Source organism: Homo sapiens, chromosome 9 (genome assembly GCF_000001405.40).
Source record: "Homo sapiens chromosome 9, GRCh38.p14 Primary Assembly".
Taxonomy (NCBI): domain Eukaryota; kingdom Metazoa; phylum Chordata; class Mammalia; order Primates; family Hominidae; genus Homo; species Homo sapiens.
Window position 1 is genome coordinate 121005470 of NC_000009.12, and position 27107 is coordinate 121032576.

The window sequence follows — 27107 nt, forward strand, 5'->3', positions numbered from 1 at the left end:
AGGAGGTTGTCACTGGATGGTGAGATGTGAATGTCTGAAATCAAGATTTCAGAGAGGATGATAAGATCTATAAAGTGAAGATGAGTATGAATGGCTAAAATGGAGGAAAGGGTTGTTAGAATCAAGGAAATCAAGGAACTCTGAGTATAGGCAAATAAAGGAACTAAAGATGAATTCACCCTTCTCTGGACTTCCACAGCACATGGATTATCTTATGCAATTTATTCTTTCAATTGAAGTTACATGAATACCTACTTGTCCTTCCTCCTTCCTTCATCCCTTTAATTCACATCCCTACACATATAGTACAATGCTCATTTTAAGTGTTTGGTTTCTATTGCTGAACTGAGTTGAACTTCTACTTTTTTGTGTATGGTAATTCCACTAATAGAATTCTCAGAAAACCAGAGAATGTTTCCTTTATCCCATAAATATTAACACCTACTTACCTGCATCCCAGAAGTCCTATAGTTGTAAACAGTTCCTTTCAATTGGATCTGTTCTCCTCGTACAACAGAATATGGTATATTCATTTCCAGGAAGACATCTTTGAACACCTTTGCCTTGACAGTATCAGCAACACATATACCTTCAGCCCAAAGTGGAAGCAAAGTAGAATCATATTAGGAAATTCCTATAATGTTTTATTGGTATTAAAATTTCTCACATTTGCTTTACTTCAAGGAAAAAATAATATTAGATCATGTTTTTCTCTGAACTCTCAACTCATGTCCTTGAATTTTCTATTCATTGATCTTAATTTCAATAATAATTAGTATTAACAAAAAACTTCATTTATTCAACAAATAGTTAATTCTATTTAAGGCATGAGAATGTTTATCAACTAACACACCAAATCTTTTTAGATATTCATTATTGGCTCCATGTTTAATGAGTATAAAATTTTGATTGTGGAAACCAAGATTTTAAAACAAAAGTAGCAAACAAACAAACAAAACCATTCCTGAAGCTATTTGGAAAGCATCTGCACTTAATCATCATAAAGATCAGCCCAAGAGAGTTCATTTATTTGTTTCTAACTCTACACAAGCTCCCAGTCAGTGAGAAAAGTGAAGGAAAATAAAGACTTGAGGCTGGGTGCAGTGGCTCAAGCTGTAATCCCAGCACTTTGGAAGGTGGAGGTGGGAAGGTTGCTTGAAACTAGGAGTTTGAGACCAGCTTGGACAACATAGCGAGACCCCTTCTTCATTTACAAAAAAAGGAAAAAGAAAAAAAAGAGAGGAGTGAAAGGAGAAATCAATATGTTCAAAGATGTGGGTATATCCAAGTCTTTTGGTAATACATAAAAAAAAGAATATTTTTTAAAAATTGCTACCATTTAAGTCCTGGGTAAACTAAATAGATACTAACAAAGAATTACATCTTGCTAATCAAATCACTATTTAAATGCATATATCACTTAAACCTGCTTACCAGTGTTTGAAATGCCAACGCCTTGAATTTCCCAGGTGGTTAGAGAATCAGGTAGGGCAAACTGCAACTGTTTTCTGGAAGTTAAAATGTTGATATTCAAATACAGTGGAATATTGATTAACCCAACTTAACAGAGACATCCATTAACAGAATTTTTGCTTCAAACTACTTTAGAGAAAGAAAAAAATTCACGAGATGAAATCACATCATTAAGGAAAACCTCATCAAGAAAAATATATTCAGTAACTCTCTTATATATTGCATGTTTTTAGACATTGCACCTCTATGATGAGAATTCAAGTTCAGAAGAATGCCTTTGAAACATTGCAAAATCCAAGCACACAAACAAAGAAAAAGATGTTTGTTGTGAGTATATTCTAAAATAGGGAAGCAAAGTGATGCATGTTAGCACTGCTCAAAACAAAGTTGACATAACTAAAAACTGCTGATTATGATTAAGCTTGTATATTTATTTACAGCTATTGTCTACCAACTTTGTATCAGGTATAGTGCTGAGTACTGAGTAAACAGCACTGATAAGATACAGTCCTGCTCTCAGGCAGTTTACAATCTAGTGGAAGAAATAGTTAAGTAAATAAATTACACTGCACTGTAATAATTGTACCAATAAGGCATTATAAGAGTTCAGAGGCAGTGTGCTTTCGTTCAACACATTTATTTTCAGTATCCTAGGCCAAGTCCTGGATATAAAACAGTAATCTGAATTTAGTTCATGCCTTTGAGGTATTTACATTTTAATGTGGAAGACAGGAAAGTAAACAAGTCATTATAATACAATATGATACACACAACAGGGTTAATTGAGGGTGCAATTAATCCAATCACTGGTAGTGTGGGGAGCAGTGGCCAGAAGGTTTACTAGAGGACATGCTAGCTAATGGGTAATGTCAGATGAAATGGACAATTGTGTGGAAGAAGGATTAGAGAAGACAAGGGTAGAAATAAGGAGATGCGTGAGGAGACAACTGCAGGCCTTTGAACTCATTCCTTGCCTTCTCATTGGAAAACCAGTGCTTTAAGCCCATCTAAGAAGAGTATGGCTCGAGGACTCAGCCCATCACTGTTTTCAGTGGTATAGAGGAAGTGTTTCCTTAAAATGTGTTGAATAGAAAACTTTAAAAAGAAAACTTTTCTTCCTGTTTATTAATGTTTGTTTTATAGTACAGATATTTTAGGATAAAAATAGTGGCTTAATATAGTGTATCGCACATAGTTGTGTGTAGTAAATGCATAATGAAGTCAAATAAAATTAAATGGAATAGCACCCTTCTTCATTCTGACCTGGAGCCAATCACCAGTACGATGTATATTAAAAAAATAAAAATTTAAAAAAGCAAAGCAAAACAAAACAAAATTTGATCAAATTGCAGGATCATCTTAACTCCTATGCAAGCTATTGGGAAATGGGTAGTTTCTAGATTTTTGGCCATAATACTTGCATTATCCACATTTCTTTCAAGGAAACATGAAAGAAGTATAATACCTTCTGGGAACAAGATGAACTTCCCACAACCAGCTTTCTGGAAAATAACTCCGAATTTCTGGCTTGCTTACTGGTAACAGGGTCTTCATGTCTGGACAAAAAAATCATATTCAATTATGGAAAAACAATATAAATTCTACTTATAGGTGAATTTTAAAATATGGCCATTAATCTGTAACTTAAGCATTTTCTGAAAGGTAAATAAAACATTTTGTTTAATGCTTCCAAAATAGAATTATAGGCAGGGTGCAGTGGCTCATGCCTGTAATCCCAGCACTTTGGGAGGCCGAGGTGGGCAGATCACCTGAGGTCAGGAATTCGAGATCAGCCTGGCCAACATGTTGAAACCCCGTCTCTACTAAAAACACAAAAATTAGCTGGGCATGGTGGCGGGTGTCTATAGTCCCAGCTACTCAGGAGGCTGAGGCACAAGAATCACTTGAACCTGGGAGGTAGAGGTTGCAGTGAGCCGAGATTGCACCACTGCACTCCAGCCTGGGTAACAGAGAGAGACTCTGTCACAAACAAACAAACAAACAAACAAACAAACTATAAAGGCCTTAGGATTTTTCCACTAATAGCATTGGCAAAACAAAGCATTAAATATCTTTAATGATTTTTTTCTTAAATTGCTAAATGTTTAGTATTCCTGAGATTATACAAGATATCGATCAGTCTATAAAGTTATTTGCACTTATATATATAATTGTAATAATTGTGTTTATATTAGAAAAAAGGAGGCTTTATATGGTTCTCTGCCTTCTTTAACTTGGTAATTTGTTTATATTTACTTTAATAAAAATGGACTGAACTTCTGTTTTCATATAAGATGCCTTAATAGAAAACAAAACATGATATGCAAAATAACAGTTTTCAGACATTAGAGCATAAGCAAGACTGTGATCTCTAAGAGAAAGGAAACAATTAGGTGAAACCTAAAATTGCCCCAGCTTACTGCCTAGAGGCAGTTTACAGACTAGGGCAGGGAGAGGAATACAAGCAGAGCCTGATGATTTTGAAGACTTGTGGCAACACTGATGGGAGTTTTGCAAGGCCAACTTGTCTGGAATGAGGGAGAGTTCCAGGAAGGAGGGGGCTGCAGAGAGAGACTTCTATCCAGCTGAAGCCAAGCCAGATGATTATAGTTGAAAAATTGAAAAACGAAAAAATATATGAGAGGGGAGAGCAAGATGGCTGAATAGAAGCCTACACCATTTGTCTTTCCTGTTGGTACACTAAATTTTAACAACTAACTACACACAAAAAGCACCATCAAGAGAACCGAAAATCAGGTGAGCAATCACAGTACCTGGTTTTGACTTTACATCACTGAAAGAGACATTGAAGAGGGCAGGAAAGATAGTCTTGAAGCACCAATGCCACTCCTCCCACATCCCCTAGCAGTGACTGTGCAGCATGGAGAATCTCTGTGTTGGGAGAGGGAGAGTGCAGTCATTCTGTGGCTTTGCATTGAACTCAGTGTTGCACTGTCACGGTGGAAAGCAGAACCAGGCTGTACTCAGCTGGTGTCTGCCCATGGAGGGAGCATTTGGACTGGCCCTAGCCAGAGGGGCATCGCTCATCCCAGTGGTTGGAGCTTGAGTTCCAGCAAGCCTCCCCACCATGGGCTGGAGTGCTCTAGGGCCCTAGGTTAACTTGAGGGGCAGTCTAGGCCACAAGGACTGCAATTTCTAGGCAAGTCCTAGTGCACTGGAAGTCCTAGCCAGAACAATTAGACAAGAGAAGGAAATAAAGGTCATCCAAACTAGAAAGCAAGAAGTCAAGTTATCCTTGTATGCAAATGATATGATCACATATTTGGAAAAACCTGAGGACTCCACCAAAAAACTATTAGAACTGCTAAATGAATTCAATAAAGTTGCAGGATATAAAATCAACATACAAAAATCAGTAGCATTTCTATATGTCAATAATGAACAATGTGAAAAAGAAATTTAAAAAGTAATACCATTTACAATAGCCACAAATAAAATTAAATACCTAGGAATTAAATTAACCAAAGAAGTAAAAGATTTCTACAATGAAAACTATAAAACACCAATGAAAGAAATTCAAGAGGACACTCAAAAAAATGGAAAGTTATTCCATATTCATGGATTGGAAGAATCAATATTGTTAAAACGCCTTAATACCCAAAGCAATCTACTGATTCAATGCAATCTCTATGAAAACACCAATAACATTCTTTGCAGAAATAGAAAAAAAATCCTAAAATTCATATGGAACTACAAAAGACCAGAATAGCCAAAGCAATCCCGAGCAAAAAGAAAAAAACTGGAGGAATCACATTACCTGACTTCAAATTATACTATAGTATAATTCAAAACAGCATGGTAGTGGCATAAAAGCAGACATATAGACCTATGGAACAGAATAGAAAACCCAGACAAATCCACACACCTATAGTGAACGCATTTTTGACAAAGGTGCCAAGAACATACATTGGAGGAAGGACAGTCTCTTCAATTAATGGTGCTGGGAAAACTGGTTATCCCATTCATGCAGAAGAATGAAACGTGACCCTTATCTCTTGCCATATACAAAACTCAAATAAAAATTGATTAAAGATTTAACTCTAAGACCTCTAACTATAAAACTGCTATAGGAAAACACTGGGAAAACTCTCTAGGACATTGGTCTGGGCAAAAGTTTCTTGAGTAATACCCCACTACACAGACAACCAAAGCCAAAATGGACAAATGGGATCACATCAAGTTAAAGAGCTTCTGTACAGCAAAGGAATCAATAAAGTAAGCAGACAACCTACAGAATGGGAGAAAATACTTGCAGCTACCCATCTGACAAGAGATTAATAACAAGAATATATAAGGAGTTCAAACAACTCTACAGGAAAAAATGTAATAATCCCACTTAAAAATGGGCAAAAGATTTGAATAGACATTTCTCTAAAGAAGACATACAAATGGCAAAAAAGCATGTGAAAAGGTGCTCAACATCAGTAATCACCAGAGAAATGCAATCAAAGCTACAATGAAATATCATCTCATCTCAGTTAAAATGGCTTTTATTCAAAAGACAGGCAATAACAAATGCTGGAGGGGATGTGGAGAAAAGGGAACTCTTGTACACTGTTAGTGGGGAATGTAAATTACTATACACTATGGAGAACAGTTTGGAGGTTCCTTAAAAAACAAAGAATAGAGCTACCATATGATCTGGCAATCCCACTGCTGGGTATATACCCAAAAGAAAGAAAATCAGTACATCGAAGAGATATCTGCACGCCCATGTTTGTTGCTGCACTGTTAAAAATAGTCAGGATTTGGAAGCAACCTAAATGTCCATCAACAGATAAATGGATAAAGAAAATGTGGTGCATATACACAATGGAGTACTACTCAGCCATGAAAAGAATGAGATCCTGTCATTTGCAACAATATGGATGGAACTGGAGGTCATTATGTTAAGTGAAATAAGTCAGGCACAGAAAGACAAAATTCACATGTTCTCACTTATTTGTGGGTGCTAAAAATCAAAACAATTTAACTTATGGAGATATAGAGTAGAAGGCTGGGAAGGGTAGTAGGAGGATGAGGGGGATGTGGGGATGGTTTATGGGTACAAAAAATAGAAAGAATGAATAAGACTTAGTACTTGACAGCACAACAGGGTGACTACAGTCAATAATAATTTAATTGTACATTTAAAAATAACTAAAAGAGTATAATTGGATTGTTTATAAAACAAAGGAGAAATACCTCAGGGGATAGATACCCCATTTTCCATGATATGATTGTTACTTATTGCATTCCTGTATCAAAGTATCTCGTGTACCCCGTAAATACTATTTACCCACATAAATTTAAAAATTAAAAAAAATTAAGAGAAAAAAAAGCCAAATCCTCCCTCCAAAAAGAAAAACAACATATGGACTAGACTGTTTATTAAAATTCTGCTTATAATAAGCAAATATTATTAGCCAGGCATGGTGGCAGGTGCATGTAATCCCAGCTACTTGGGAGGCTGAGGCAGGAGAATTGCTTGAACCCGGGAGGCGGAGGTTGCAGTGAGCTGAGACTGCGCCATTGCACTCCAGCCTGGGCAACAAAAACAAAACTCTGTCTCTCAAACAAACAAACAAACAAAGCAAAACAAATATTGGAAAACAATCTGAATCTTAGACACTGTACATCTCAATGAATATATTTCTACAAACATAAATTTTGTGGCCATTTACCAAAATTATGGTTATTAGATATTGCTTAACAATAGGGCTATGTTCTGAGAAATATGTTGTTAGATGATTTTGTTGTGTAACCATCATGGAGCGTACTTACACTAATCTAGATGGTATAACTTACTACAGATCTAGACTATATAGTATAGCCTATTTCTCCTAGGCTACAAACCTGTACAGCATGTTACTGAACAGAATACTGCAGACAACTGTAATGCAATGATAAGTATTTGTGTATCTAAGCATATCTAAACACAGGAAAGGTACAGAAAAAATACGGTATTATAATCCTATAGGATCACCGTTGCACATGTGGTCCATCATTGATGAAAATGTCATTACGCAGCACACATAAGTATAAAACAGAAGCTGTCATTTTGCTTTTGCTTGTTTTGTTAAAGACTATACATAGGCTGGGCACAGTGGCTCACGCCTGTAATCTCAGCACTTTGGGAGGCCGAGGTGGACGGATCACCTGAGGTCAGGAGTTCAAGACCAGCCTGGCCAATATGGTGAAACCCTGTCCCTACTAAAAATACAAAAATTAACCAGGTGTGGTGGCAGGCGCCTTTAATCCCAGTTACTCAGGAGGCTGAGGCAGGAGAATCGCTTGAACCCAGAGGCAGAGGTTGCAGTAAGCCAAGATTGCACCACTGCACTCCAGCCTGGGTGACAGAGCCAGATTCCTACTGAAAAAAAAAAAAAAAAAGACTATATATAAAGTCCTAAAAGTTCTGAAAACATGTTAATGAGAGTTCTATAAATTCTGGAAACATGTATTGTGGTTGAAACTGAAATAAGACATCAGCTTTTATATAAGTACACTTAACCTTAGGCTAGATTTAGAAATATTCTGCTTTATTTCATCAATGTAGATATAGACAGAATTTTTAATGGTTGTAATATCACAAAAGCGTAGACTTGTAGAACTCACAGGCATATTGGAGAGGATCTGGTCGAAGCTCCTTGCATGAGGCTCAGAGAGGATAAATAATCATTCAAGTTTATGGGATGACTTGGCTTTAAGGTTATGCCAGGTCTTAACTCTGGCCTAGTGTACTCTGCTCTGTACTGTACCTCTTCGGATGCCCAAAAATGAAGGATTTTTTTTTCTTATGGACATTTACAAGTTATCTTTTCTACTTTCAATTCTAAATAGATCATGAAAACTGCCTTTCTTAGCAGCATAAAATTACACAAAATTCCCCATATTGAGCAGAATTCTGATAGAAAATGTCATACTTACGTAGCCTTCCCAATTGCATGTCTTTATGAGAGATATTAGCACGGAGCTGGCTTGCGACGACACAACATTCAGTGAAAGCTTTGATGCATCTTGGCCCTAAACTAATCCGTGCAGCTCGCTGCTCACAGGTTTCATCATTATTAACGCAGGCTCCATCGTAACAACATTTCTTCACTACTGAATGTTTATATTTAGCAGCTGAAATGGTAATAATGCAAGTGCTCTTGATGACGCAGAGTGATAACATCTCAGGCTTAGAAGGAATCTCAAGGGATACCTGGTTTCTGTTGCTATATGATCCCCCTACCCACAATAGTTATGGCTAGTTGACTGTCCAGACTCCCCTTGGAACTATTCTAAGAATGGGGAGAATGTGACCTTACCAAATGGTCCATTCCAGCTCACACTAAATGGTTAAAGGGTTTCCTGCAATTAAGCTAAATACTAACTCTTGAAACTGGAACTTTGGGTTCTGCTGAAAATATGCAGAAAAATATAGAAAAAGAATAGAAAATGTTTTTTAAGAAAATAAGTTAAATATCCAAGAAGCCTTCAAATATTTGAAGATGGCTATCATCACTATACAAATATTTCCTTCTTCAAGCTGAATATCCTATTTTTCAAAAACTTCTTATATAACATGGTTTGTGGACTTCACCTAGTAGCATTATCCTTCATTGTAAGTGCTCAGATTAGTCAATGTCTCTCTTTTCATATCATTAGAACTTAGAATAAAGGTTAGAATTAAAATAACTCATATACAAATGGAAGAAACTATTATATTACCATAGGCATGATATTAGTTGAACTCAATTTGCTGACTCCCAGTTTGATATTCTTTCTACAGTAACATGACGAATTATCATAACCATTTAAATAATTATTTTAAAATAATTCTCACAAGATGTATTTTCCAAAGAACAATGCTACTAACAGTTAAATATATGAAATAGAAGTAATAGACTTCTAGGTATATCCCCAAAATAGTCAAATCATGGATTTTGTCAGAATAAAATGGAAGGATATGATTTTAATTGCCAGATGAAGTTATCAGAGAGAAAATATTTATGACAAATAAAAGCTAATATTTTGGATTTTAGAGCTTGAAGTAATAAAGACCTATTTCCTTAGATTAAGGCTATGGCAAATGAACTACTAGACTTTATTTGGATTAATCTTTCTGAGAGAGATAAGCTAGACCTCCATACATATCTTTCTTTTCATTCATTTTATTTCAATTAGGGGAATTTATATAACATTTAATTTTGTCCAGTTTTTGAATGATATGACCATAACCTTTTTACAATCACATGAATCTTACAGTACCTATTTCTTCTATCTTCTTTTGCAGCGTTCTTCTTGGCCTGAGAATTTCTTTACAAGGTTCATCTGGTTTTTTTAAAAAAAGATAAAGAAGAAGGATTAAAAAGGAGATAAAATCTCAAAAAAAAATTCCATGAAACTATTTAAGTATTTAGAGCCTTCACAAGTCATTCCTTAACAAATATTGAGGGGCTGCTTTGGATTAGGAACTGTGCACCATACTTCTTAATATGACTTGTTTTATCTTAGTGGAGTTCATGATCTAGTGTCATATCTTTTGACTTATTTTATCTGAATTTGGTTTTGAATCCTGCAGCCTCTCTGATCCACTGATTCCAGAGAAATACCTAAGCATTTAGAGTGAGTGATGCTTTTGTTGGGTATGCTATTTTTATTATTTGCTCTTTGTGCTATATTATTGCAAATATAACTATGAATACCACAGTATCAAGTATAATTATGAACAATTTTAAAACCATAGAAAGAAGATGATTAAGGTATGGTTACTATCCTTAAAGAGCTCCTGATGCAGTAGGTGAGCAGGACTTACAACTACATGTAAGAATGCACAATGACACAATGCTGTTCTATAACTTGTAAATAGATCTAGTCCCTGCAATAGCCTCCCTATTAAAGGAGGAGGGAATTATAAATTCTATGTGGGGAAGAGGTCTCGTAGAGGCGATGATTCTTACATTGCTTCTCCAGGCTAATGAAGGGGAAACCAATTCCAATAAATAAAGGCCCAAAGGTGCAAAATAGCATAATGCCACTCAAGAACTCCACTTGGTTCTGTAGAGCTTAAACATAACGTAAGGCACAGCAGGGTAAGAGCTAGTTGGAGAGAGCCAGGGCGAAGATCATGGAAGGTTTTGAGTACTACACTAAAGAATTTGTACTTTATCTTGAAGGCCAGTGAAACATTTTATACAGGTGAGTTATGTAGTCTTGGCATTCTAAGATCAGGGTACAGAATATTTGGGAAGAAGGATAAAAATGAGATCTGGGGGGCAAATGATCAATGGGATTTTCAGTAATAAACATGCTGAGCATTTTACCATTTTCTTGGGAGTCATCTGCATTTGCATTAGTGAGGAAGGTAAGTCCAGCTAGGTGGAACACATTGGCATTGTTGAGGCCACCACCTGCCCCACAGCCCAGATCACTCTTCTCTAAGAATTGAAATACCTGTCCAGAAAGGCAAAATGTTGAGCACATTGAGATGTATAAATCATTCCTCTAAAGATCTAAAAGGTACTAATTGTTACATGGTTATCACAAACCAGTGAAATACACAGATGATATTTTTCAAATGATCAAAGACAAAATTTCCCAACTTTGTTTCTAAGTTTGTCCTTTTGTATTTATAAATACATAACTATTCAAAGTTAAATCAAGAACTAAGTCTTAAACAAATAGCTTTGATGAGGAGTTTCTTAGAAACTGATATATAGTGTTTTGTACATAGAATGAATGCTGCAATCAATATAATGTTCCAAATAAATAAATAAATAGGTATGAATGCATGAAGGACTGAATTAACATAGAAATTAATTTTAAGTTGCTTTAAAAGCACAACTTTGTGCATTTTGGTGGGGAGGTCCCTAGGTTCTAAATGGCTGAAGACTTGTTTGGACAGGCTTATTCGTTCTCCGAGTATTTTTTAATTTTACAGTTTCTCAGTCCTTCCTTCCTTGTTCAAAGACATTCAAGCCTCGAAAATAATAGCTGAACATAATAAGATAAATAGGAACTTATGAGAATTGAATGATTTTGAGATTCTTCTGTGCTATGGATTTCAATGAGAATTTAAAAAAAATCCAAATGTTACCTATACAGGTCTTTCCTGTGCTGCTACTAGCTACTATAACTGCCATCAACACCCTACCCTAAACCTCCAAAGTATTCTGATAGTAATTTTTCCTCCATGAATGTAATTGCTACCATGATCATATATTCTTAAAGTGCTTACATTTACATTTGAAAAACAAAAGAGGATTGACCTGTGCTTTGGGAGCTGACAGGAGGATGGTTTACCTTCCTAAAAATGAGTATGTTGAGTAGATTACAGAAAAGCAGGCCTAGTCTTCCCTTAGTTCTTCCTCCATATCCTAGCCTGGTGGCCACACTTCATGCAACACTGCAGCGAGACATGCATTACTTAACTCTTTCCAAGGGCTTTTTGGCTCCTCTTTGGACTCCATACACAGCACTGTCCACTGCTGCTAATGCCACCCAGGAATCCATTCCAGTTGCCATATTAAGAGACACAGTTTGGCCTGGAGAATATGCATCTGCATCAGGAGACAGATGAACCTAAAAGTTCATTTGAAAAAGAAAAGAAAAGATCATTTGTATGAGACAAGACTTTTCAGAAGCAGCTAAAACTTTGGCAGCCTCCTTCATTGAAAAGAAAATTCAATTGTGACTTATAATTTGTGGCTTACCTGGAGCTGGTTGCCACATTTTTCTTCAATATTTAACCAGACTGAATCAGACACTAATTCTGCTGTCTGTTCTCCTGTGACGATGTAATAGACCAGAAGTCGGGATGAAGGAACCATGTTCTGTGTTACTGGAATGTTTATACTTTGATAAGATGCATCTGAAAATTTCTCCCTCGTGCCAAAGTGGATAATTTTGCCCTTGGATAAAATCTAAAAATAAACAGCAGCAGCAACAATAAGTAAAAAATAAACAAACAAAAACAAAACCTGTGCTTTAGGATGCAGCCTGGAGCTGGAGCAGAAATTATGTTAAAGAAAAATAAAGTTAGGCTGGGCACAGTGGCTCACACCTGTAATCCTAGCACTTTGGGAGGCCGAGGTGGGCCGATCACTTGAGGCCAGGAGTTCAAGACCAGCCTGGCCAACATAGTGAAACACCATCTCTACTAAAAATACAAAAGTTAGCCAGGCATGGTGGTGCATGACTGTAATCACACCTACTCGGGAGGCTGAGGCATGAGAATTACTGGAGCCCGAGAGGTGAAGTTTGCAGTGAGCTGAGATCATGCCACTGCACTCCAGCCTGTGCAACAGAGCAAGACTCTGTCTCAAAAAAAAAAAAAAAAAAAAAAAAAGACATACCAATTTTGGCTGGGCACGGTGGCTCACACCTGTAATCCCAGAAGTTTGGGAGGCCAAGGCAGGCAGATCACCTGAGGTCAGGAGTTTGAGACCTGCCTGGCCAACATGGTGAAACCCTGGCTCTACTAAAAATAAAAAAATTAGCCGGGCACTGTGGTGGGCATATGTAATCCCAGCTACTCGGAAGGCTGAGGCAGGAGAATTGCTTGAACTTGGGAGGCAGAGGTTGCAGTGAGTCGAAATCATGCCACTGCACTCCAGCTTGGGGGACAGAGTGAGACTCCACCAAAAAGAAAGGAAGGAAGGAAGGAAGGAAGGAAGGAAGGAAGGAAGGCAAGAAAGAAGGGAGGGAGGGAGGGAGGGAAAGAAAGAAAGAAGGAAGGAAGGAAGGAAAGAAGGGAGGGAGGGAGGGAAAGAAAGAAAGAAAAGAAAGAAAGAAAGAAGGAAGGAAGGAAGGAAAGGAAGGAAGGAAGGAAGGAAGGAAGGAAGGAAGGAAGGAAGGAAGGAAGGAAGGAAGAAAGAGTGAGTTAACGTTTATGGGCCTACTATGTGCCAGGAACTTTAACATGTATTTAACTCCTTTCATTCTCACAATACATCAATAAGAGGAATATTATTCTCCTCATTTAAGAAACTGAGGCTCAGAAACTAAAAGTCATACTGATTTTAATTCAAAATCACACAACTAGTAAATTAGAGAGCTAAAATTTGAACCCAAAAACTGTTCAAAGTCATCACACTGTCACTAAAACCCCTTTTGTTTCACCGATTAAAAAAAAATAGATGAATAAGTGGAGTGCATCTTATTTGGGGATTTAAAGCCAGGGTTTAGATTCTAAATTGAAGGTTTAAGATTAAAAAAAAAAAATCACGTGAAGCCAAAATGCCCTCAGAGGTCCCTTAAATTGTCCTTAGAGACCAGAACTGCATACATGGATTTGGTATCTAGTCCATAAACAGTTTCCCTTTATCAGTCAATATTTATCTATGGTCCTCATTACTGTTTTTTCAATTTCTTCCTCAAAAATGTTGAAAAGCCAACAGCATGTACTTGGCCTGGCTGTCGAAATAATTCATTCCATTTATTTGGTGATTGTCAGGAAGCTCTTAATATTTTCTGTAAGTTTTTTTCTTGGTTTCACCAACAGGCTTCATCGATCCACCTCTGTTTAATATAAATGATGCAATAGGGATGTTGCTCAGCTACGGAATTGGAACAGGCAAGATAGGATTCAATTCTCAGGAGAGGATTTTGCTTCCCCATTTTTTGACAATAAAATTCACTTATCCGAACTGGGTCTAGGCATATAATCTTTGGCCATGAAAGAGAACAGAGGCAACATGATTTAATCAGGTTCTCGCTTTGGAATAACTAGGCTCTCTTTGGTAAAAAGTGTTATTAGAACAGGAGTCAGAGTCCTCAGCTCAAATCAAAATTTTCCTCTTCCCAGCTGAGTAACCATCATAAGTCTTTTAACTTCTCTGTCCCTCAGTTTCCTCATCTGTGAAATGGTCATGAAAATCATGCCCTATTTCAAAGGTTTTTTGAGAAACTGATGTTCAAGTTAGATGATGCTCTTGAAAGTGCTTTGGGAATAAAAGTATAAAGGATAATTCTAATGCCTCTCTAGAGGCAAAGGAAAATGTTCCAGGTGGGGGAATAAGATGTAAATCCATCATTATGTACTTACCAAGTAATTATAGTGAGTTATTTTGTCAATATATGGGCTTTTGGGGGTAACAATAATATTCAGATGTTCTCCCACTAGCAAAGCCTTATGGTTATCAGTCCAATCAATATAAAGGTAACTTTGGCTGAGAGATGAGTATGCTATTGCTCGGTAACCTTCCCTGGCCTGATTTTCTTCTGGAAGATCTGGAGCATCAGTTTTGACCTGAAAAGAGAAATTTCAAAAAGACATGTATACTGTGATGTAATGCTTTCTGTAAAACATACCTTTCAAATTATTTTCCTTGCTTTATAAATTTCTAAATTTCACAATAACAAATGCTAAAGGGGAAAAAACCCTCCATTACTTCAGTGTTTATACAGCTGTGGTGTCAAGCAACTTTACAAAGACTACAGACAAGAATGATGGGATTATGGGCTATGGCGGAAAAGTCTGAAATGAAGAGAGAAAGATGCTCCAGGAATAATTATTGGTGGTCTTCCTGAAATGTCATGGTAAGTTGGGACTTCTCCTCGCATGGGATGATTACAGAGAGATGCCTAAGCATTTAGGAAATGGGGGTAGGAGAAGGGAAGTAGTGGGGAGGTAGCACTAACTCTTGGGGACAGGAGCTATGAACGAACATCTCAGAGACTATCTGGCCCAGTTTCATTGTGAAGTAGAGGCACAGATGGGTGCTTATAAATATGAGGTGGAGAAGAAATGATATCATGGCAGCAATATCTACCCTCAGACAGCAGAAGTGTTATTAGCTCATGCTCTGGAGTCAGGTACACACTGGTTCACATACCAGTACCACCACTTATTAACTCTGGATAAAATTAGTTAATCAAAAGAGAGGTTAGAAGCCTCCATTTCCTGAGCCACACAATGGCAAAGATAATATTCTAACTCATCTTGCTAATTAAATGGTGTTTCATGTATTCTTCATAAAGCTCTCAGCATGATGCCTAGCATTTAGTAAGTGCTCAATAGATGACAGTGAGCATATGCATGCTGCAGTCATTGGCCTATGTTATTATGTTACTAAGTTACTTTGTAACTATGTTACTATGTTATTGCTCATATTTTATTTGAGATTGGGAACTTAAATAATATTTGCTGCGAGAGAAGACTATTAAGTGGGCTCTAAAGTAGAATGGTTTCTGTAGTTAGAAAAAAGGGAGGCTTCCATATTTTTGACCCTTTTGTGGCCCTTCAGGGGATTAAAAGTGAGGGGGGAAGAGAGGATATTCCTAACACTCATGTGCACTGCTATACCTATTCTGAAGCTTCTAGAGTCTGATATGGTCTTAACGGTGTAAGATAAAACAATTAACTCCCAAATAAAAAATTGATACATTTATCTTCCTCAAGGACCATTCAATGGATTAGCAGATTGTCTCTGGGACTAATTTGTCTTGGATGCAAAATTATGGAACTGTTCACTGGACTCATGTGTAAAATCTGCCGCATCTGTTCTGCACACTAGCCAAAACACATGGTCAAGAGTACACATTGTCCTAGAAAATACAACAGGAGAATTCAGCTCACATTAAACTCCAGCACCGTCACTCCAGATGGGAGATTAAGCACAAAGGAAGCTACTCCATCATCAACACGTGTTACACTTTTGCTTGGATCCAAGTCAGATGTCTCTTGGTTTACATCAATTGTTTGTGCATTCAGTGTTACTGGGACTCCTCCTACCAACTGGTCAAGCGAATCTTTAACCTGCACCTGTTTGTCAAAACAATCCAAATCTATTTCAACAGCTCATCACTTATTTTAAAGCACAATTCTGAAATAATTTTCCTTCCTCCCCACCAAAGTATAAATTATTTATGTATTTTTTTCTGAAAATTTTTTTTCTGAGACAGAGACTTACTACGTTGCCCAGGTTGGAGTGCAGTGGCTATTCACAGGCACAATCATAGCGCACTGCAACCTTGAACTATTGGCCTCAAGCCATCCTCCCACCTCAGCCTCCCAAGTAGCTGGAACTATTTAGGCATGCTCCACCACACCTGGTTTACTTATGTTTAATTTAGTAAAGAGAAGTGTATTCTCAGCTTATAGAAAGATTTAATTCTATTTAGTTAAATCATTCTTGAATAGATTCTCCCATAAATCAAGCAAACTCAAAACATAAATATCATTCTATTAAGTCAGTCAAGGAGTAGGTGTGATAAGGTCTTCTGCTATCTAACTTCTGTATTTCTTTGATTGGTTTAGGACTGGATAAAGGAGAAAATGAGGCAATCGCTTCTGGGAATAAGTCCCTTGAATATGAGAAACAAAAATAGATACACCTTTTTTCCTTTAACATCTACCTCTCACTGCCATATATATATATATATACACACACAATTCCACACAGATATAGTTTGTTATTTTACTTTTATATAAACATATTTTAAGCTTATGTTCTATATAATATTGCTATATTTACATATTTTAGTATATATATTATATATTACTGTATATGCATTATATGATACTTTGTTATATATTATTTTCTATATATAGTATATATATGTAAGAACCTACAAGCATGTCCAAACCTTGCTTTGGGCTTGGTAAATCCTTTTTTTTCTTAAAAGCCCATGACCCACAGTAAATAATAAATAACACATTTTGATTGTACTTAAGTTGATTTTAAAAAGTAACACATTTTCAAAGAACAAAAAAAAATTTTGCTCTGGATTTCTAAATTAAGGGCAGGGAATAAACATTTCCATTTAATCAACATAATAAAATATATTATTTGTAATAAAATATATAATGATAGATAAAAATCTAAAAACCACATGAATGTTTCAATTCTATACTGTCAGCATTTAGAGGAGGAAAAGAAGGTGAAAGAGAGAAAAATGAATGCAGAGGAGTAAGCAAAAAAGACAGAAAAAAAGAGATTCAGGGACGGAAAGAAGCAAAAATGAAAAGAACAGAGAGCAATACAGAGACGAGAGATTGAACAGAGTTATGCACAAAGACAACACAGAGACAGAGGGAAACAAATGAGACACACTGGAGGCAAAAACATAGTGAGAGAAAGGAGTCTATTTTCAAGGAATGATATCTCCATCTTAAGGCTTTTTAAGAATTTGCCACCAAATAATTTTAAATGTTTGTATTTTTGAACTAGAGTCTTATGAGATTTTATTTACATATAATTTAATGCTTATTTATTACATGTAATTTAATGCTTATTTAGGGATGCCTAATACAAGGCTATCTTGCCCTCACTTTTGAAGTCATTGCCAAGGCTGCAGCTGACCTTCAATTTCCCATCCCTGTCTGTGTCCACCAGGAGGGGCAGGTTTCACAGAATAAGCTCCCTCTGTGACTTCATGGCAACATTCTTACCCTGTTTGCCACCCACATGTTTTCCATGAACAGAACAAGATGATCATATGTAGCAACGTCTACCCCCTCACCCAATCTACCTTGATGGGATATGGAATCCCAGGCTTCAGGAAAAGAGGAGTAGCAACCAAATTCAGTTTGTAGGGAGAGAGGACATATTTGATGCCAGGTATTTCTGCCTCTTCAGAAAATCCACCTAAGGAAATGGCAAGCATCATGTTGACAGTTTTTAGGAGTATCATGATCTGTATGGATATCCATTTCATCTCTATATGTCTCCACAGACTTATTCATTCACTCACTCCATTCTTGCATTCATTCATTTACCAGTAGTAAGTAGGACATAGGTCTTGCTTCAGAGGGGCACAGCAGAGAAGAGTTTAGACCTCAGGAGTTTCCAAGGCCTTATGCACAAGCTCGTATGTAGAGAAGCCCTTGGAGAAGTAGAGCTACAGGACTGGACTGAGGAAGGATGCCAGGAAGGGACACCACTTTTCATCAGTGGCCTGAGTTTCAGTTGACTGTATTCAAGGGATTGAGGAGAGAGGGAAGGGTCAGGCCAGAAACTGAGCCTTACAGAAGTGGAGGTGGGGGATGGGGGTTGGTGTTCACAGAGCATAGATACATAGAGAGAAATCAGAAAAAGGGAGCTTGATATAGAAAGAACCCTGAAAGGGAGTTCGAGACCAGCCGGGCCAACATGGTGAAACCTCATCCCTACTAAAACTAAAAAACGAAAACAAAAAAAGTGCCAGGCATGGTGGTATATGCCTGTAATCTCAGCTACTCGGGAGGCTGAGGCAGGAGAATTGCTTGAACCCAGGAGGCGGAGGTTGCATTGAGCTGAGACTGTACCACTGCACTCCAGTCTGGGCAACAGAGCAAGACTCGGGAGGGGAGGGAGGGAGGGGAGGGGAGGGGGGAGGGGGAGGGGGGAGTGGGAGGGGGGAGGGGGAGGGGAGGGGGAGGGGAGGGGAGCGGGAGGGGGGAGGGGGAGGGGAGGGGGAGGGGAGGGGGAGGGGAGGGAGGGGAGCGGGAGGGGGGAGGGGGAGGGAAGGGGACATGACCAGACAACTGGCAAGAGCCCAATAATGTTATCCTCCAGGTAAAGATTAAGTTAAACTATTAAGAATAACATTTGAAGCTTTAATATTCCCAAACTCCTTTCCAATATTACATCTCTAATACATTCTATACATATCCTATATTTTAGCCAAACTGGATGATCTGCTGTCCTCAAAGATTAAGCTTCACCATCTACTCTTCTTCATCTGCCCTCTCTCTGGAGGGTTTCTATTTCACCCTGTCTAGCAACTCTGCCTCAAAACCCTAATTATTTTTCAAGACTGATCATCTTCACAACACTGTTCTTGCTTGCTCAACAATCATCTAGAAGCTCACCTTCCTCTGAATCCTATTGCATTAATATTTTGCTTAGAGCTCATATGGAATTCTTTCTTGCAACAGTTCTTTCTTCACCTGTCTTATACCTGATGCTAATTTGTAAGCCACTTTAGTGCTGGCATCATACATCATTAATGTTTGCAAGCCTGTCTGTTTGGCAATACTTTAAATATCTCATAGATACTGCTTAAACTGAACTTATTTAAAATAAGTTGAGGAAAAAATAAAAAGAAGAAACATTAAAATAATGTTGAAAACTTTAGGCTTTAGGAAACATTCAGTTTGACTCCATCATTATGTAGACTATAATAATGATAATAGTAATAACTTTTATTTGTATAGTACTTTATCAAATAGTTTTACACACATAATCTTATTTTGGTTTTGATTTTCACCACGTGAGGACACTAGGGTGCCAAATGGTCAAGGCAGAGAGCCTGCAGAACTACTTTGGACATGAATTGGGTACTGTTTTCCCATTTTTGCAGTAGAAGTGGAGGTAATAGGGACCCAATGGCTTGTCCAATGACTAAAAAGAAGCAGAGCCCTACTGCCTTTTTATAACTATATAAAAGTCTACTTCTTATAATTATATTTAACTATGAAAGAAAATACAATGTGAAATAATTATAGAAATTGGAAATTATTTATATCTTTAATATTCTGTCTAAATATTTTTCAAAAGAAAGTATACACACACACACACACACACACACACACACTTACCTGTAGACTCTATGACTGTTACAGCAATATAAAGGTACTTGTTGTTTAAATCTTCTAAACTGTAGTATGACAGTTCTTTGACTGCTGTTTCAGAATCAAATGTGACTTGAGCAATTCCATTTATCAACTTTTTAAAAGGAGAAAAAGGAGGAGTTATTTCGGAGAAGAACTTATAAGGAAAAATTAATAAAATCTGCTTTTACTAACCTCTAAATTGAAGGTAAATGTCAGAAGAATGGTTTAGTGTCAAAAGTAAAGTAGATAACCGAGTCCACGATTAAGCCCAGGATGTTATTTTCTAATTATTTGTATAGAATTATAGAAGTAGAAGGGTCTTGAACATCACATGGTCCAACAGGTCTTTTTGGTAATAGCTGACAAACACGACTTCTTCCAATTCCTGCGTCATCATTCATCTTTATAGGCCTCTCAGCGTACTTCCGCCCTTAACTGAGAGTTTGTTGGTTTTTATAATATTTAATTTGTACTTCACTGCTTACAAATTTAAATACTAATTTTAAAACACACAATGAGTAAAGGGATGTGGGGTTAAGTCATATTATATTATTTAATTATTAACACAACAGTAAAATAAACTTTGCCTTATTTTTTCTTATAAAATTGAGCGACTTGAGGGCAGGCATTTTTGTCTTATTTAGCTTTACATCCCAGTGTCTAGCATAGAATTTTGCATTTTAAAAATGCATTTAATTTACATCTTGAATTAATAAGATTGTAGAGGATAAATGATTGATGATGCAAACCAAATGAATACGAAAAAGTGAGCAAAAATGACATGAACTCATATCATCTGTGGTATAATGTAAAGAATGCTGAATAAGGGAAAGGGAACCAGCGCCCTAATCTCAGTTCCAGCAATCATTAGCCCTAAACTATGGACAAATAACTTCATGAATATTTCCTTGCAAGAAACTATGCTGTCTCTGGGCATATAAGGGAAATGATTCAGACTCACAAATAGTTTAATATTGAAAATGATAGATAAGTAAACAAGCCATTCCAGTAAAGAAGGGTTTCTCAACCCCTCAGCATTATTGACATTTTGAACAGGATAATTCTTTGTTGTAGGGGCCTGCCCTGTGCATGGTAGGAATTTAGCAGCATCCCCGGCCTCTCCCTAGTAAACACCAGTAGCAACCACAAATGTCTCTGGACATTGCCAAATGTCTCCTTGGGAATAAAAAATCACCCCTAGTTGAGAACCGCTGCAATGAAATGTGAAGAATGTGTTAAGAAAAGAGGCTATACAGCCGGGGCAGCTAACCTAGTGTAGAAGAGTCAGGGGAGGCTTCCCAGAGAAAGGCTGTCAATGTTGAAACTTAAAGAATGAGAAGGAATTAGCCAGGCAAAGAAGGGGCAGGAGGTGACAATGGGAAAGAGCATTTTCAAGCAGAATAAATGATATTGTAAAGACCTGGAGGCAAGAGAGACTTTGGTCAGTTAGAGAAATTGGAGTGATTAATACAAAGGGGAGGGAGGGAGGAAAGGGCATGAGATCAGCTGGTAAGGGAGGCTGATGCCAAGGAAAATGAACTTTACCCTAAAGGCAAAGGGAAGCCAATGGAGGATTTTAAGTTTCAACCTATCTAAAATGGGGGATTGGACTAGATGGTTTTTAAGTAACTTCTCATCTCTCACCTCTGGATGCATCTGTAGGTGTGAGTGACTGTGTCTTAACATCTTACCATTGTGTTTTGCATTGCTGTTTGCATCATTTCTTTTTGATCATCTTTTAAGTCTTCTCTTATTCCAAATGTGATATAAACGTCAGCCTCAGTGACTACTTTATTATAAAAATATCTGTCAGACAATAGCATAAAACTGTTTTACTAACATGGTTACAATAACAGGATTCAGATAAAATGTAACAATTTGAAATTACGTAAAGCACTTGAGGCACTTTAAAGTGTCTTTCATCCTAAGCAAAAAGAACAAAGCTGGAGGCATCATGCTACCTGACTTCAAACTATACTACAAGGCTACAGTAACCAAAACAGCATGGTACTGGTACCAAAACAGATATATAGACCAATGGAACAGAACAGAGGCCTCAGAAATAACACCACACATCTACAACCATCTGATCTTTGACAAACCTGACAAAAACAAGAAATGGGGAAAGGATTCCCAATTTAATAAATGGTGATGGGAAAACTGGCTAGCCATATATAGAAAGCTGAAACTGGATCCCTTCCTTATATCTTATACAAAAATTAATTCAAGATGGATTAAAGACTTACATGGTAGACCTAAAACCATAAAAACGCTAGAAGAAAACCTAGGCAATACCATTCAGGACATAGGCATGGGCAAGGATTTCATGACTAAAACACCAAAAGCAATGGCAACAAAAGCCAAAATTGACAAATGGGATCTAATTAAACTAAAGAGCTTCTGCACAGTAAAAGAAACTACCATCAGAGTGAACAGGCAGCCCACAGAATGGAGAAAATTTTTGCAATCTACCCATCTGACAAAGGGCTAATATCCAGAATCTACAAAGAACTTAAACAAATTTACAAGAAAAAAACAAACAACCCCATCAAAAAGTGGGCAAAGGATATGAACAGATACTTCTCAAAAGAAGACATTTATGCAGCTAACAGACACATGAAAAAATGCTCATCATCACTGGTCATCAGAGAAATGCAAATCAAAACCACAATGAGATACCATCTCACACCAGTTAGAATGGCAATCATTAAAAAGTCAGGAAACAACAGATGCTGGAGAGGATGTGGAGAAATAGGAACGCTTTTACACTGTTGGTGGGAGTGTAAACTAGTTCAACCATTGTGGAAGACAGTGTGGCAATTCCTTAAGGATCTAGAACTAGAAATACAATTTGACCCAGTGATTCCATTACTGCGTATATACCCAAAGGATTATAAATCATGCTGCTATAAAGACACATGCACACGTATGTTTACTGCAGCACTATTCACACTAGCAAAGACTTGGAACCCACCTAAATGCCCATCAATGATAGACTGGATTAAGAAAATGTGGCACATATACACCATGGAATACTATGCAGGCATAAAAAAGGATGAGTTCATGTCCTTTGCAGGGACATGGATGAAGCTGGAAACCATCATTCTGAGTGAACTACCACAAGGACAGAAAACCAAATGCCGCATGTTCTCACTCACAGGTGGGAACTGAACAATGAAAACACTTGGACACAGTGCGGGGAACATCACACTCTGGGGCCTGTCATGGGGTGGGGGACGGGGAGGGATAGCATTAGGAGAAATACCTAATGTATGATGAGTTAATAGGTGCAGCAAACCAACATGGCACATGTATACCTATGTAACAAACCTGCACGTTGTGTACATGTACCCTAGAACTTAAAGTATAATAATAATAAATAAAGTGTCCTTCATGCACTATTACATTTCATCCTCATAAAGCCACATTAATAAAGCTATGTGCTAGATGAAAAAAATTGATCTTGGGGAGATCACAAGACTTAGAATCAGGGCCCTCTCCTATATGCCAAATTACTTCCTTGATAATTTTGATATCAGCTACTCTCTGTTTTCTTTTATGTTTTTAAAAGGTACGTGTCCAATCTCACTGTTATATGAGATCTATTCATAAAAAATTTAAACTGCATGTTTCCCTTTTTAGTTTAGAATTAAAGTAAGAATAAAGTAAACTTTCTACCCAGCAAATAATACTATAGCAAGAGCTAACTTTCCTTATTTATGGTTTGAATAAATAGTCCCCATTATAGGAGGTCAGTTTCTATAATTTTCTCTCAAGTGAGCCTTTTATGCTGGTTTAGACCAAGTAATAAACACTCTATTTTTCAAATCAATGCTAATAAGAGAGCTAGCATAGGGTAATGTTTGAGGCATGGACTCTGGAAGCAGACAGGCTGTGCAACTTACTAGCTGTATGATTTTGAGCAAATTATTAAACATTTATGTACCTCAGTTTTTCCACTTGTAACATGGGAATAGTAACAATATCAACGCATAGAGTTGTTGTAAAGATTAAATGTGCTAATATATGCTGAGTACTTAGAAGAGTACCCCACACATATAGTTATATAGATTGGTATAACTACATTATATTGTAATTTTAAAATGACCTAAGCTTTTGTGATAGGTTGCTTGCAAAACTAACCCCCAATTCTCTACCTCCCCATGTATCAACGACCTTTGCACAGTTCCTTGTGTCCACAAAGTGTGGGAGGGGTCTATTTCCTCTGGGCTGACCTTGTAACTTGCTTTGGACAAAAGAATGTGTGGAAGTGATGGTGTGCCAGCACCAAGCCTAGGCTCAGGGGGACTTTCATGCTTCCATTGCCTCTTTGAGTGTTGCTGCTGCTACAAGCTAGCCTGCTGGATGATGAGAGGCACACACACTTTTAGCCCCATCCAACTGCCAGACATATGGACAGGACCTTCCTAGACCAGCCAGCCCCCAGCTGACCTACCAACTGGCTGCAGCTACATGGGTGAGCCCAGCTGACACCAGCCTGGCCCAGATCAGCAGAACTTCCCAGCTGACTCATAAATGTGGGAGTTTCAAGGCACTGGGTTTTGAAGTAGTTACGCAGCATTAGCTGGCTGATTAAATCATTAAAAAAAGATAGGAAGTGAATCCTTCATATCTCAGTCCCAATATTCTAAGTTACCCTAGTTTCTAAACACATACACCAAACTTAGATCTTTGGCACTTTTCTTTGTTTTTGCTGTTGAATAGCCAACAAAGCTAAACTCAGAATCAGCTAAAATCAGAATAAGCAAATGAACTACCAGCATGATGTCTCCTTTATCAATTAGTCCCCAAATCATGGCACACTTTGATAATAAATCACAGATCTCACTTTGGGCAACTATCATCAACCAGAGTTGAGTTAATTTGAAAAATAAAAATAAAAACAACAAAAAAACAAATGTTCTTACCTTGCTTTTATAGTAATTTCAAAATTCTTAAAGTTCTTGTAACCAATGAAATTATATTCTGGCTCGATTGAGACAGAAAAATGTGGCAAGACTGAAAATAAAAACAAACAGGTAATATTACCATTTTGATTAGAGCAGACTTTAAAGCCTAGCAAACAGCTAGACTTTCTGGTATAGTTGGACAAGCTGTAACATCAACACAACATCCACTTTATTATCATAATCATCATCGTCATCATCGTCATCACCAACAACAATCTCTGCAGAACCTTCCCACTCCAACAATCAGAGGTCAATCCAGAAGCACTTTGCCTATATTTTGATTACAGCATTTATTATAGGCAATAGGTTATTTCTTCCATTAGAGTATAGGTTCCTTGAAAACAAAAAAACTTTTCAATTGTGACATAACATAATGAAATTTGCATTTCAAGATTATTTTGGCTAATACCAAGCAAGATAGCTTGGAAGCAGAGACATCAGTTAGGAGGCTTTTGCTGTAGTCCAGGAGGGAGAGTGCTGATGAATTGATGAGAGTGGCTACAGACAGTAAGAGGTGGGTGGATTCTAGATATACAGAGAAAATACAAAAACACTTAGAAGAAGGGAGATGGGTTAGGATTATATGTTACAGAGAGCCTGTAATCTTTAAGGTTGAGTTTCATCATAACGAATTTGTTTTGTCACTGTTTTTCTTGTTAATTGTTAAAATTTGTGTCAGTATTTATTCTTCTCCATGTCATTATGAATCTCTTGAGGGAATAAAAAATGGCTTCAAGCAGAAGAAAGTTAAATTTGATAGCAGAGCACACAGAAATGCTAGTAAACTACTATAAGAAATGAAAGATTAAACTATTTACGTTACTTGTTAGTCTATTAATATAATTTATTTCAAAATAAGAATATCTTAAATATTCAAATGAATATATTAGGAATTTAGGAGCCAGAAAATAGTGTTGGACTAGGGGTAAGGAAACCTAATTGTTGTTTTTGTTTTGTCACTAATTGGTTTTAAGACTCAAGTAAATCATTTATTGGTTTTACTGGGTTCCACTCACCTCATCTATGACTATTTAAGTTTCTCCTAATAATAATCACAATTCTAGAAAGGATCTTTACTAGTCAAGCTCTTCAGGGGACTAGATCTCTTCCAGCTCTCTGATGGGGAACACAAGTACACAGAGGTTGTTCTGCTTGATCAGGGTTAAAGGCATGCTGGAACTAGAATCTAGGCATTCAACTACTACTCCTCCCTCCAACCTCTAGCCAGTACTTCTAGCCATACGTACAGGCTGCCTCATCTTCATCTGGGAATAATTTTGCATTAACTACATTATTAAAAAGAATTATTGCAAAACACTAACTTTTTATAGAAAAACTTTTAATTGGCTGGGTGCGGTGGCTCATGCCTGTAATCCCAGCACTTTGGGAGGCCGAGGTGGGTGGATCACGAGGTCAGGAGTTCAAGACCAGCCTGGCCAAGATGGTGACACCCTGTCTCTACTAAAAATACAAAAATTAGCCGGCTATGGTGGTTGGTGCCTGTAATCCCAGCTACTTGGGATGCTGAGGCAGAGAATTGCTTGAACCCAGGAGGCGGAGGTTGCAGTGAGCTGAGATCGTGCCACTGCACTCCAGCCTGGGCAACAGAGCGAGACTCCATCTCAAAAACAAAAAACAAAAAGCAAAGAAAAACTTTTACTTGTCAGAAATTACCATATTCTTTAACTTCAAAATATGCGGTTCCAGTTGTTGAAAAGTCCTCTTTATATTTAGCCTTGATCGTCCACATACCATATCTGTGGAAGCAAAATATTTAAAATTATAGATGTCATCAAATGTTTTTAATTCACTCAGAGGAGATCTAATAAATTCCTGTTTTAAAGAGGGAAGAATACACAAAGATATATAAAACCTAAGTAATATATTTTATTTGTGACTGATTTTTAAGCAATAAATAATTGAGCATTTTTAGGATAATAGATAATAGATATTGTTTAGTAACCAGTTTTTCATATATTGTATTATTTTTCCTGGTATTTTATCTTAATACAGTCATTAGTTTTGATTTGAAGAACTTATTATTTCTGAGAATTTATTTAATCTTGGAGCCTAATTATGCTAACATAATACTAAAATCCAAAATACAGTACAAAATCCATAATAACGTCTCTAGAAAC

General features: G+C 37.1%; 1 protein-coding gene across 3 annotated transcripts in view; it reads right to left on the reverse strand.

The window, feature by feature from the left end:
* Nucleotides 1-27107, reverse strand: part of C5 (complement C5) — a 122531-nt gene that overhangs the window by 53135 nt on the left and 42289 nt on the right. For all 3 annotated transcript variants that reach the window (NM_001317163.2, NM_001735.3, NM_001317164.2), the window contains exons 6-20: nt 26644-26726; nt 24928-25018; nt 21691-21805; nt 19985-20111; nt 17935-18050; nt 16040-16225; nt 14507-14710; nt 12174-12383; nt 11893-12042; nt 10785-10914; nt 9730-9792; nt 8404-8601; nt 2939-3029; nt 1435-1508; nt 450-589 (exon numbers count right to left, since the gene is read on the reverse strand). In NM_001317163.2, coding sequence (NP_001304092.1) covers nt 450-589; nt 1435-1508; nt 2939-3029; nt 8404-8601; nt 9730-9792; nt 10785-10914; nt 11893-12042; nt 12174-12383; nt 14507-14710; nt 16040-16225; nt 17935-18050; nt 19985-20111; nt 21691-21805; nt 24928-25018; nt 26644-26726 — 1978 coding nt within the window. The remainder of the gene's footprint in view (nt 1-449; nt 590-1434; nt 1509-2938; nt 3030-8403; nt 8602-9729; nt 9793-10784; nt 10915-11892; nt 12043-12173; nt 12384-14506; nt 14711-16039; nt 16226-17934; nt 18051-19984; nt 20112-21690; nt 21806-24927; nt 25019-26643; nt 26727-27107) is intronic.